Raw genomic sequence first — 14169 nt, 5'->3', positions numbered from 1 at the left:
TAGCATTTCTCTAATTTCAGCTAATCTAATAAACTAGTCCATATTTACAGATGACATACTTTACTCAAGTTTTCTCAGGACATTTTCAGGGAATTATTTTGGAGAAGGTAGATCATCTACTTTTCCTTATATCATGAAACATATCTAGCAAAGCCTCCTTAATTTGCCCACCAAACTTGTCTCCTACCCTTTTCCACAGGATTATTTATATACTTGCATTAATAGTACTTATAGAAAATAAATTCTTTTTTTTTCTTTTTTTGAGACAGAGTCTCGCTCTGTTGCCCAGGCTGGAGTGCAGTGGTGCAATCTCGGCTCACTGCAACTTCTGCCTCCCAGGTTCAAGCAATTCTTCTGCCTCAGCCTCCTGAGTAGCTGGGACTACAGGAACATGCCACCACGCCCAGCTAAATTTTTTGTATTTTTGGTAGAGAGAGGTTTTCACTATGTTAGCCAGGATGGTCTCTATCTCCTGACCTCGCGGTCCACCCGCCTCAAATTCATATGTATGTACATGTATATGTGGAAATACATTTTTTTTTTGAGTTTTAGTTTTTTGTTTTTTTATTAGGTGGATGGTACAGCCTGTGGCTTTATTTTGCTTGGGGAAATGGCCAAAAGAGACAAGTAACTCCAGAGAACTGGTTCTGGAGTGCAGGCAGAAATTCAAAGACAGAACCAACTGTTTAGCAACAAACAGTGTATATATGGAATGAGCTGTTCAGTAACAGTAAATGAAGCTATTCTAACAACTGCATGGCAACAACACACATTTTCAATAAATGGAGTTTTAAATCCTGAGATGTTATCAGAAGAGGAAACAGTGGTAAAACAATGCAGCTCCATCATAATGTATTTCTGAAATTTTTTCAGAATCTCCTTACTAGAGATGCTTTTAGGAGGAAGTATTACTAGTACCTCGTAGGCAACGTGATGCACAGAAGCAATCACCTCAATGGTACAATTAGGAATAGCATACAATTTAAAGGTCTCTGGAAAAAGCTTACTGAATGGAAGCATTTCCGATGTAAGCGATGAAGAATTCTCCATGAGTACATACAAACATTTGCCATAACCAATCAGGAATTATGGCCAAACCCTGATATATTTCTGATAATATTATACAACCATTGCCAACATAGAATGATTGGGCTTACAATGGAGGTAACTGGTCCATCCAGTATCCTACCTAAATTTTAGAATCTCTGAACATCTTCAACAGGTGGTCATCCCTTAATCTTTAAAATTCCTAGTGATAAGGACTTGTTTACTCAGAAGGAAAATATTTATTGTTTTTAATTAGTAAAAAATAAAATGTCCTCTGTTTTCTCCTAGACAAAATGAACTATTTTTTCCTATATGTGCTTCCATAAATGTTTGTTTCTGTGTTCTTTGGGGATTTTCTCCACTTATGATGACCTTCCTGTTCATAAAAATTGGGCCTATATTTGAGCCATGATTTTAAATGATAATGTCCATGGAGGTGCTCCATGCATGAAGTTTGGATTCTCTAGTTTCAGAGAGCCCATGGCATTCTACCTGAATATCTCTATAACTTCTATAATAATGTATGGAGCAATGGCTACATCCAAAGCAGTGTGTTAAGTACTGGGGAAGCAAAACCCCAACTTTTAACACTGTATCACTGTGGAGAGGAGAACCTGTGATATCCATTTCCAATTTGTGTTTTAGATTTTCATGCAAGTTGTCTCTGTGTATCTAAATTTTAACTCCCATGGGGATAGAATCATTTCTGGTCTTTGTTTTACCTCCATAATGTTTAATTCAATGTCATGCATGCTCAACAAATAATATATAAGCACTGAGATGACATCTGCCTGTCTGTCACATCTTTCTAAGATTTTAGATTTGAATTCTATTTAGTTGTGTTATCAAGTGGAGAAAAAGGAAGTATTGTGTTCAAGAGATCATAAAGTTTATAGGATCAAACAATCTCCTTAGAAGATATTAACTACTTCAAGAAGAGGCTGTAAAACAGATACAAATTGGCAGCATCTAGTGGAAAAGAGAAGGGTTTGGTTCTTTGCCCCATGAAAAACCGAATTTGTATTGTGTAATGCATTTGTATTGTGTAATGTAATGTATATTTCTCAACTTTTTTCATTATTGCCTCTTAAAGCACCTTTTGTAGACATTTTTTGTAACTGACTTCCAAGAAATTGTAATACCACAGATACATCATGTATTTTCTTATGTACTCTCTCTATATATTTATTTTAAAAATAAAAATAAAAAGGCTTTTTATCCCCCTGAGAAAAAACTTCTGCCCACCCACCTTGGGATGATACCACTCCTTGTTATAATGGTTGCTATGCTTTTATGATGCTACTTTGACTAGGGTCATATAATTTACAATTTTGGGTCATGACATAGAAATAAAACCATAAAAAAGTATTTATTTATTTTGAATTTTACTAGGGCTTTGCAGCTTTTTACAATAAACAATTAAAACACTCTGTAAAATAAGTTAGCCTTAAAAGCATTAGAGAACTTTAGCAGTATATTTTTCCATAAATGCATATAGTTCCAAGAAGCCACTGGACTTTCTCCATGACACTGCTGCTCTTACTAACGTCATATCATAATTTTATTCAAATAACTTTAAAAATAATATTGGAAATATTTTCATTTCTATGTCATTTGTTTTTCTATACACTGTTGACTAGGTTTAGACTCTGTTGACTTTGTTTTTAATGTCAAATACATGTAAAAAGTTTACATTCCTTCTTAAAGTTAACTTTTAGTTATAAAGCAAGATTTCAACAGTTGGTCCTGATATTAGCTCTGGATGTTCTCCTTTTCAGAAGTTAGGAAATATGTACAAAAATCTGACAGTAATGTTACTATGAAATTTAAAAAAAAAATGATTGTCAGCTAACTGTGGCAACAAGTAAAATACTACTAATGAAAATAAAATAGATGTAATTACTATAGCAGTAGGGTGTGAGGAAATCACTAGCAAATAATGTTTGCCTTTTCTGTGGGTGGTGGAGGGAGTGTGTCGGATTGGTCATCTAATACTTTAGGTGGAAGCCTGAAGAAGATAAGTTATTTGAGACTCAGTGAAATGACTACCCAAATGTCCTGCATCAAATGACTGGGAAAAAAATGTGAATCCCATCTCTTTGCCTGGCTAATTCCTGTTTAACTCATTTCACATTCTCTAAGAAGCCTCTGGTCTCCCTAAAGTCTAGGTGAGGATGCTTCCTCTGTGTGCCAGTGCCACATATCCCAGCGCTGTTGCCACTGTCTGAGTTCTCTGTCTAGCTCAAACTGTGAAGTTTTTGAGGGCAGGGACCAAAATACATTCCCAGTTCTCTCTGCTGGGCTTAAAAGAGTGTCTAGCATGCTGAAAGAGCTCACTAATTTCTGTCATGAAGCACTATTTCTTCTTTTCTAAAGCACATTAACAATTTCAGATAAATAACTCCAGGCATAACCAAAACTACTATGTTATCATTCTGCGCTTCTAACATTCAGGGGAACATTTGACGAGGAATTTGGTGCAGCTTATTTTTCTTTATTCCTAATTTTATGTGTCTGTGGTAATATATTTTCCACTTGCCCCTTATCTCTCCTTTTCAGGGAAAAATGTCTAGAAAAAAATATCTAAAAATGTTCATTTTCTTACTCAGTTATGCCTTACTTGTTCTTATTTGGAAACAATTCCCAACTCTACTCTTTTCAGCAGTAATCAGCTTTCATGTGTGATGGTTTCTCTTTTAAATATTTTTCACTAAAATAACGCTTCATACCATAATAGTTGTAGAAAATTGCTATTTCATATATGAGGTGTATCTTTAAATCAATGTATGATGTAATCATCTAGTTTAAAAAAGATATTTGCACTGAAAAGAGAAAGCATAACTAAATGACAATGCTAAATATTAATCAAATAAATGATGCATATTCTCAAGGTATCATACTTGAATTTCTGCTATTGCACCTATCAGAGTTCTGGGATCAGAATCTCTAATAAGTTTCCAATTCTCTAGATAGATGTAGAACCATTGGTACCACAGAACATTTGTCTCTTTGTTTACATACATTTATGTATTAATCCTGTGAGTCTCTATAAAAGGTAGATGAGTGATGATTCTTTGCTGAAAATAACTGAAAATGTAATTATGAATAACTACCCGAAATAGTAATAATGATAAATATTGAGAAAAAACATTTTTTTCTGGAATGGAAAGGAGTATAAATTCTTTATAAAGAAGGAGGAAATATTAAGTGAATCTTGAGCAGGTGATAGAATTTGGGCAGAAAAGAGGATGGAATTTGAATGGTCAGGAAAAGCACTGTTGGCACAGGCCACAGTTTCCATGTGGAATAGAGAATATGGCAAACTTCATGGAGATATTTCCACATGGGCCCTCAAGTTTTCTTTTCAAATAAATCCACGCTGTATTGTTGTGTTAGGACTAGCTGCTGGGGAAAATCTGTATGACTCTTCAAGAGAGTTATAAAATATCAGCAAATGTTTATTCAAATAATAATTTTCTCTGTTACAAAATTTTTCATTGTCAGCACTTGACTGTTAGGGAAGAACATATTCTAATAAGCTACTCTATATTCACTTGTCCAGTTGGTGTCAACATAGGCATGTTTTTGTTAATTTCCATCATTTAAAATCAGTTTGTTCTACTTATCAGAAGTTTAAAGGGAAACTTAATTATTAGTAGGTTAAACAAGACAAACATCCAATAAAAAAGAGACGTACAAGTTTTCTTGATTTTATAAACAAGTGATTACATTTCTGATAAGTGATAAAGATGGAAGTGTGTAATGAAATCCTAACCCAAAGAACTTAGAGACAATCTGCCTTTGTAAATTACTTTCTTATTAATAACAAAACAATCTAATATGCATTAACTATTTTCCACATTATTAAATCATTCCTTTATAAGAAGTGACTTACATTTAGTCTATTAAGATACCAAGAGACTTTTCTTTTTTTCTGTATCCTACTGTCTAGCACAAATAAATGGACCTCTGAGTCCTTAACTTGCCTCCTGGTTTATTTATTGGTAAGAATAGAAGCAGCAGAGGATTATAAAGATAGAACTATTAGAAATCTTCCTTCTGCTTTATGTTGTTTCTTTGTAAAGACCTTAAAACAGTTGAAAAGATTCTAAAATATTTTTCCCCTTAAATCTCTGAAATTTAGGGTATCTCTTCCTGCAAATCTTAAATAGAGTGAGAATCATCAAAGTCATTGACTCTGCTGCAGACCTTTGCTGGTGCCTCCTGAGACTATAGTGGAGAATTAGGTTTTATGTGTAGCCTAAATATTTCCCCCTAAGTGATAACTGTGAATCTAAAATTTTGCTCTATTTCAAAAGGGCAAAGTACATATCATTCCCTGTGGGTATATGTATAGTTATCATAAATATAATCTCACATCAAATATTACACTGGAAAAGCTTGATATGAAAAAAATTCAAATTCCTAGAGAAAAATCAGAATTAAATTTCAAAAACATAGTAGTAAAAAGCCAAGATATATGCCTCTATAAGAAATAGCTCATTTATTTTAAATATTTTCTAAATTAACTGTCCTTGAATTCTATTGCCTCTCCTCATTCACTTGTATGCCATGTGAAAATAAGAATAAATTTGGAGAAATAAGACTCAGGATTAGATCTTGATTCTTTCTTTGAAGAACTGAGTGACTTTTCTATAGACTGAGTGATTATATTTAATATGCTACTTTTAAAATGTAAAGTGTAGAGCTGTTCTAGCCAACTACAATTTTTAAAAACTAACATGGTCAAAATCTGATAATCTCTCTTTAGCAGAAAATATATACTTAGCATTATAGCTATAATTTCATATTTAATTAAATATTGGTAACCTTGGTCAGGCGCACTGGCTCACACCTGTAATCCCAGCACTTTGGGAGGCTGAGGTGGGTGGATCATTAGAGGTCAGGCGTTCAAGACCAGACTGGCCAACATGACGAAACCCCATCTCTACTAAAAATACAAAAATTAGCTGGGTGTTGTGGTGCACACCTTTAATCCCAGCTACTAGGGAGGCTGAGGCAGGAGAATTGCTTGAACCAGGAGGTGGATGTTGCAGTGAGCCGAGATAGTGACACTGCACTCCAGCCTGGGCAACAGAGCAAGACTCCATCTCAAAAAAGTATATATATTAGTAACCTTAATGCCAGATTATCTATCTTTGTTTCTAAAATTCATTGTATAGTAGAAGTGAGGGCTGTTGAACGGCAAGAAAGTAAATAAGGGATGAACAGACCAGCCTCTTATTGTTGTTTTAGTACAGATTAGTTTCATTTGTGAGTGACAAAAAGTGCACAATAGCATTGGTTTAAGAAAGATTTTTCTCCCTTTCAAGAGTAAAAGAAAGAAAGGAAAAGAAAAACTATGCAAGTGAACAGCTCAAGGCTGGAATGGAGGTTGCCAATCCTTCTCTCTTGTTTTGCCACCCTTAACGCGGGATTGCTTCTTTGAGATCGAAGATAGATGCTCTGCTTTCATTCATTCTGGCTTCTTTTTAGCCATCAGAACGAAGAGGCTTCTCTTTAAAGACACTTCCAAGATGTTAAAGATTTTGCAGTTTTCCTGGCAGGCTTGTGTGCCTCTGTGGCCAAGTTCTGGCCAAGAAGTTGTAAATAGAAGTGGCATGCTGAACTTCTTGGAAGCATCTCTAAAGGATGTCCAGAGGCTCCAGATGCATTCTGCCTTGTGGAGCTCAGACCTTCACTGAAGCAAAAAGAACTGTGACAGGTAGGAAAGGAGCATGGTCAGATCGTCTCAGAAATATCACTAAAGAAGTAATATGGAAATAGTTGAGGGGTGGATACCCCATTTTACATGATATTATTACATATCACATGCCTGTATCAAAAAATCTCATGCACACCATAAATATATATACCTGCTATGTACCCACAAGAATTAAAATTAAAAATTAAAATATAAAGCATGCCAAGAATTTGGGAACACAAATTAAAAAAAGAGAGAAATAATATGGATAACTGTGAAGAAAATGTGTTGATCAGTGAAGAGGGGCAAAACTGGCTTCAGAGAGCATAGTATGTGATCAATGCTATAGCACATTTCAAAAACAGAGAGAAGGAAACACAATTAGAAATGACCAAGAAAAAAAAAAAACCACTTGTCCATTGATTGGATGTGAGAAAAAGAGAGAATAATGTAAGATAATCATATTTATTCTTTTAGTAACTTGGAGAATTATAGTGCCAGGACAAAAATAGAATATACAAGAAAAGGAACAGTCCTATGGACAAGTATCGTGAGTTAAGTTCTAGATATGTATAGTGAACGTGATGCCTATGAGATATCCATTTAATAAATATACAGAACTGGAAATAGGTGAGATTTGATGGCTAGAATTCTGGGGCAGGGCTTTCCAATATTTTTTATTGTTGAGAAGCACACTTGGACGTTTCATCCAGTTGGGGTAAATAAACCTGGTGACTCACAGAGATCCCTGACCTTTGGGATCCGGCTGTGCCAGTCCCCAGCTCACACACTGAAGACTGAGCTATGGAAAACACAGCAAACCTATAACCCACTGGGGCATGCAGATGAGGAGAAGTCCTCCCCCATCATGGACCTAGCTATTCAATGTGTGGACCTTTAGGAAGCTTATTAGAACTACAAACACTGTCTTCCACCACATACTCACTGAATCAGAATGTGCATTTTATCAAGGGATATGGTTTGGCTGTGTCCCTACCCAAATCTCATCTTGAATTCCCACGTGCACTCATTTTTAAAAGGGAGACAACATAAAAGTTCAGAAAATTTGTAGCCTGATGATGCCACGGAAAAGAAACTCCCATTTTCTGAGGAGAAATTCAAGCTGGCTGCAGAAATTTACATAAGTAATGGGAAGCCAAATGTTAGTCACCAAGATAATGGGGAAAATGTCTCCAGGGCAAGTCAGAGAACTTTGTGGCAGACCCTCCCATCACAGGTCTGGAGGTTTAGGAGGAAACAATGTTTTTGTGGTTCAGCCCAGGATCCCTTTTCTGTGTGCAGCCTAGGGACTTGGTGCCCTGCATCCCAACAATTCCAGCCATTACTAAAATGGGCCAAGGTACAGCTTGGGCTGTTGTTTCAGAGGGTGGAAGCCACCAGCCTTGGCAACTTCCATGTGGTGTTGAGCATGTGGGTGCACGCAAGTCAAGAACTGATGTTTGGGAACCTCCACCCAGATTTCAGAGGATGTATGGAAATGCCTGGATGATGAGGCAGAAGTTTGCTGCAGGTGCGGAGCCCTCATGGGGAACTTCTGCTAGGGCAGTGCAGAAGGGAAATGTGAAGTGGGAGCCCCCACGCAGAGTCCCTACTGAGACATCACCTAGTGGAGCTATGAGAAGAGGGCCACCATCTTCCAGACCTCAGAATAGCAGATCCACTGACAGCTTGCTCTGAGCACCTGGAAAAGCTAGAGACACTCAATGCCAGCCCATGAAAACAGCCAGGAGTGGGGCTATACCCACAAAGCCACAATGTGGAGCTGCTCAAGGCCATGGGAGCCCACCTCTTGCATAAGCATGACATGGATGTGAGACATGGAGTCAAAGGAGATCATCTTGGAGCTTTGAGGTTTGATTGCCCTGCTGCATTTGGACTTGTATGGGGCCTCTAGCCTTTTTGTTTTGCTCAATTTCTTCCATTTGGAATGGCTGTATTTACCCAGTGCCTATAACCCCATTGCATCTAGGAAGTAACTAGCTTGCTTTTGATTTTACAGGCTCCTGGGCAGAAGGGACATGCCTTGTCACTTATGAGACTTTAGACTGTGGACTTCTGAGCTAATGCTGAAATGAGTTAAGACTTTGGGGGGACTCTTGGGAAGGCATGATTGGTTTTGAAATCTGAGGACATGAGATTTGGATGAGGTTGGGGATGGAATCATATGGTTTGTCTCTGTCCCCACCCAAATCACATCTTGAATTCCCACATGTTGTGGGAGGGACATGGTGGGAGGTAATTGAATCATGGGGGCAGGTCTTTCCCATGCTGTTCTTGTGACAGTGAATAAATCTCATCAGATCTGATGGTTTTAAAAGGGGAATTTCCCTGCACAAGCTCTCTCTCTTTGTCTGCTGCAATCTATGTAAGACATGACTTGCTCCTTTGCCATGATTGTGAGGACTCCTCAGCCACATGCAACTGTAAGCCTATTAAAACTCTTTCTTTTGTAAATTGCCCAGTCTCAGTTATGTCTTTATGATCAGCATGAAAATGAACTAATACATCAAGCTTTCCAAGCTCCACTGGCAGAGTGGCAGAGTGGCAGAAAAAGAGAGAGGAGAAGAAGCAGCTGGACATCAGAGAGAAGCAGCTTGACTTCAGAGGGACTGCTTGGACAGTGGAACTTTGAAGAAAATTTCGCTCAGGGATGGCCAAACTCCAGGGGAAGACTGCCTTCCCACTTCATCCCCTTTCCAGCTCCGCATCCTGCTGAGAGCCATTTCCACTAATCAATATAATCCTCTACATTCACCACCCTTCAATTCATTCATGCAACCTGATTCTTCCTGGATGCCATCAAGAACTCAGGTACTAAGAAGGCAAGTGCAAAAGGCTGTCACCCTGACCCCCTATTGAGCTGTTAAACACTTAAGCCAGCCATGGACAGCAAAGCTAAAAGAGCACACTGTAATACATGCTCTTTGGAGCTCTGGGGTCATGGATACCCCCCCTTGATGCTGCTGCAGAGCCACACAGAGTTCTACTCCTGCCAGCGCCCAGAAGCCTTTGTCCTGATTCCTGCAGACTCTCACCTGTGTGCTCCCCTTCCCGTGAGGGTTTGAGAGCTGTGGGCTGAGTAAACGAGCTAACCCCTTTGTGAGTCCCGCCAAGGCATCTGTTTCAGAAGATGTGAGCTTGTTTATAGTCTGGAGAAAAGACATCAACGGATTTGGAAATACTTAGAAAGAGACAAGAGGGATACAGAAGAGATAGGGCAAAGTCATTAAATAAAGATGACAAAGAAAAGTTTTAATAGCAATAGTTGAAGGATAGATTTTAAATCAGAAAAGGGCTAAGTCTTTGGAACTAAATAGAAAGAGGTTAGAATAGAGGCAGAATATATTAGGCTATAGATTTGGAGGTTGTAATTTCATAATTCAGCATAATTCATCAGTTGAATGCACAATTATATCTTTGAAGTGGGAAGTCTCAAGTATGATAAAGATGAACAATGAAACAGACCAGTGTAGGCTGATGCAACTGGTTACGAGGCAACACAGAATAGAGCCAAGTCTGTGTTATTTCTGGTACTGTGGTGTGGCTACGCTGTAGTTTTCATAGAGGATTCAGTCCAGCCTCATTGCAGCAGACATTTCTATTGCTCTGAAGAGGAAGTGAATGAAGCCAAGGAATGATCTTTATTTATTAAGGCTGCACTAATTTTGGTGGCAAAGTCAGAGATAGGACCCACATCACCTAATTAAAATTCTCTGTTTATTTTTCCAAAGGAGCACTGTATTAGACTTTTCTAGAGAAAAAATAATCATCTCATCACTCTGTAAAAGGTAAAATATGACTCATTTAATTAGAATTATAGGACAATATTTAATCTTTTCATTGGAAAATATGAGACTGAAACAAATTCAGACATTTGACTCTTTTAAAAAATTCTTCTATATATGAGCATGAAGGTTGGCAGTGTTGGCTTATATTTTTCACTTATATTTCTGAACCATTTTCTTTACATGTTGAAAATAGCTAGCCTTTTTGTACAAAGCACAGTCTCTAGGGGTTTTGTTATGCTTGATTAAAGGAACGCGTGTGCTCTTATTGCCACAGGAAATAACTTCTATAATTTAGAGGCTGTCTGAACCCTTTTGTTTCCTGGGGAACTGTTAATGTTTTGCCTATAATAGTTTAGGCATATAGATAGAAGAAAGGTAGGAAAAAAAGACGGAGGAAGGGTGAGAAAAGGAGAGAAAGGTGAGAGAGTGGGTAACCTAGAATATTAGCTTTAAGTATAAACTGAGTATTAGTCTTAAGAATAATGTTAACATCAGTGATGGCATCTTGCTAAACTTTGCTCTCTCTTACTTTTTAAAAAGAATATAATTCTATAAAAACCTTGAGGTATAGCGTAATATTCAGTAGAGTGAAATTGAATGACACCATTCCTAGTGCTATATTTACCTGTCCTTACCACTTTTAATTATAGACTCTTTTTTTCTGCTTTATTGTTTAATTTTCTCCTTTGTTCTATGCCATTTTCTCTCTCCAGGCAGAGGTAGGGCTTCTTGCACTACAGGAATAAAAAGGCCCAATCTGTCTTGAATATACTTAAGATAGAATGCCTTCCATTTAAAGGGGATATTAACATAAACATCTGTAGTTATACAAGCATGAATATCTACCATAATCTGAATGAGTCCCTACTCTGCTGGTTCAATACTATTTATAAAAATAAATTTAGAATGATTTCACTGCAATATCTGTGTACATCTGTTTTTAAGTCTGGAGACTCTAGAGATTGGTGCTTCAAAATATCATGCTTTTATGTCCTGAATCTTATTGATTTGAAGATTTATAAAAATGCATTTCATTAGTACTATTGCTGTATCTTTTCCTTTGTAAATCTATAACTTAAAATATCCCAAGTAAAATGGTAATTTCTGTCAGTATTGCTTATTTCTGATTGGTGAAATAACTTTTTCCCAGTATTTTTGTAGTATTTTTCTGATAATACACATAGATTAAAATAAAATGTATATAGTGTTTTTATTTTAAACATGCTTTGTGCTTATTTTAAAGTTCTAGGAAGTATTTTACCAAATAAGATTTAGAAGATAATCTCAATTCTTGATCAACTTTTTTCACATTGATTTTATGTAATCATTTTGAAATTATGACTAGAAAAATGTACCTGAAATCATGCTCAGTGACCTTTTGGTAAGTTAAACTGCTCGAGGTATATTTAGAATATAAGGAAGAAAATGTTCTTGAATTGAGTTTCAAATGATCCACCCGTTATCAAACTGAGTTCTAGAGGACTATAGAAATTACAGCAAAGCAACATAGTTGTGTTATTTGTTTTTCTAATTCACCATATGTGTCATATGACATGATTGCTGCCCTTAGCCTTTAAGTTTCCAGGCTAGTAAAGAGAATTATGACTTGTAAGTATTACATATCAACATTGAAAACCAGTGAATGAGAACCACATTTGTGATATAACCTATGGCCTATAAGAATTTAGTGGAGGAGGGATCATTTCTGGCTCAGCTAAGCCAAGAAAGGCAATGTGGAGGACATGACATTTAAGCAAAAGAATTGATAAAATTCCCTTTGGCAAAAATGCACAGTCAAATTAACAGAGATCAGGCCACATCCTGGATTTTGAATAATTACTCTTGTGACTCTGGGGGTGCCCTGACCTTTTTCTGACTAAAGAAAAGGTAACATCTGCTATTCCAAGAAAATTTTACCTTCCAAATTTTGATTTTATTGGTAGCTGAACGTTTTTATTAAGTTTGTTATCCAACAGCACACTCTAGGCTAGAGTCAGAGCAAATTCCCTGTTTATTTTTCATTAAAAAAAAAAAAAAAAAACAGGCGGGGAAGTACCTTGTGCATGCTGTCTGTGTGTGTGTCTGTGTCTGTGTGAGTGCATGCATCTCTCTGTGTGTGTGTGTGTGTTATGTGTGTGGTGAATGAACACAACTAGAATAAAACAGTTTCAAAAACAAACTGTAAAGATGAATTGTCTAGAATCAGGCTTAGGGAGGAAGTCTTTTTGCATATGAAAAGAATGAGAGAGAAAAGAAAGACTATCCCTTCCCAGAAGGAAGCTAGGAGCAACAATACCTATGAGAAACATTTTATAGCTTGAGATTTATTTTAAGAAATCAACTGCTATTTCACGGATTTGACAAAGGAAAGTAATATTGACAAACTATTTCCCTGAAATGCTGCTACAGGGATTTAGAATGTAACTGGCATTTTTTTAAAGCTTGTGTATGAAGCTGCTACTGTGGTAATTGATATATAACCACAAACTTGCATTTATAATTTTGACTCTAATCATTATAGCCATTTAATTAAAATGGATTTCAAAGTCTTTATGTGGATTTAATTTCACTTACAATTACTTAGGTAATACATAATTATGTCTTCAATATAAAAATCCAAATATTTTGGATAAATGAAAAGTTTCCCTTGGTTGCCAACACTGTCTTAGTTCCCTTCTTGGAGATAATGACTGAAATCATTTAATATGTTTCTTTCCAGATTATATTTTATATATTTCTACAAATATATGTGACCACAAATAAATACATATGTATATAATATATATATATTTAAGAAAAATGTTCCAATTAGGGGATTAATACTACTTATCCATTCCATGTGTTTCCTTTACTTTGAAGGGGAGAGAGTTGCCTTGAGAATTTGTTCTTGCCTCTCCCCACCGCTAATCCATTCTGCCACAGAATAGAGAAGTGAATATTCTGTTGAGGAGGTTTCTAGTCCAGCATCTTTTGTTTCCTTTCCTCTCACTTCTGATTGTCCTTTGCTCTGTTCTTCTCTAACTGCTCCTTTCTTCCAAAATAGCATGTAATTTACCAATTTCTCATATTTCTGGTTTATAATGTTCCATTCTGCTAGAATGTAAACTCCATGAGACCAAAGATTCTGTTCCATTTTATTTATTGCAGAATCCAGAGTCCTCAGACAGTGCTCGACACATTGTACATTTTCAAAACCTATTTGAAGATGAAAATGAGTAAGTGTGGGTACTAAATAAATCAGCCTTTTCTTTAAGGCTTTTTATTTTGTCTTATTTATAAAATTCTCTTCTATAAAAGTCTTAATTTCTTCTATATCTCTAATCCTTTACTTTGAATTATTTTTTAAAGTAAAATTTGCATATGGATTAAAAAATCAAATGGTGAGGATAGCACTCTAATGCTGTTCATAGCATTCTTTAGTCCTACCTCCCTTATACTGAGTTATGCTTCCTAAAAGCAATCATTTTTATTTTATTTTTTAATTAATTAATTTTGAGACACAGTGTCACTCTGTCACCCAGGCTGGAGTGCAGCGGCACAATCTTGGTTCATTGCAACCTCTGCCTCCTGGGTTCAAACGATTATCTTACCTCAGCCTCCCAAGTAGCT

General features: G+C 36.4%; 1 protein-coding gene across 8 annotated transcripts in view; it reads left to right on the top strand.

The window, feature by feature from the left end:
* The window catches only part of GLRA3 (glycine receptor alpha 3), a 192328-nt gene that overhangs the window by 5461 nt on the left and 172698 nt on the right, over window positions 1–14169 (top strand). The window contains exon 2 of one of the 8 annotated variants that reach the window (XM_017008630.2): window positions 13708–13775. The exons of 6 other annotated variants lie outside the window; for them this stretch is intronic. The gene's annotated coding sequence lies outside the window, so the exon portion shown is untranslated. Of the gene's footprint in view, window positions 1–13707; window positions 13776–14169 lie in introns of those variants that run through there. One more of the 8 variants, XM_047416197.1, reaches the window with a different exon arrangement.

This window comes from Homo sapiens, chromosome 4 (assembly GCF_000001405.40).
Source record: "Homo sapiens chromosome 4, GRCh38.p14 Primary Assembly".
NCBI classification, from domain to species: Eukaryota; Metazoa; Chordata; class Mammalia; order Primates; family Hominidae; genus Homo; species Homo sapiens.
The sequence above is the reverse complement of the archived record's forward strand: the minus strand, read 5'-3'. Positions and strand labels throughout refer to the sequence as shown.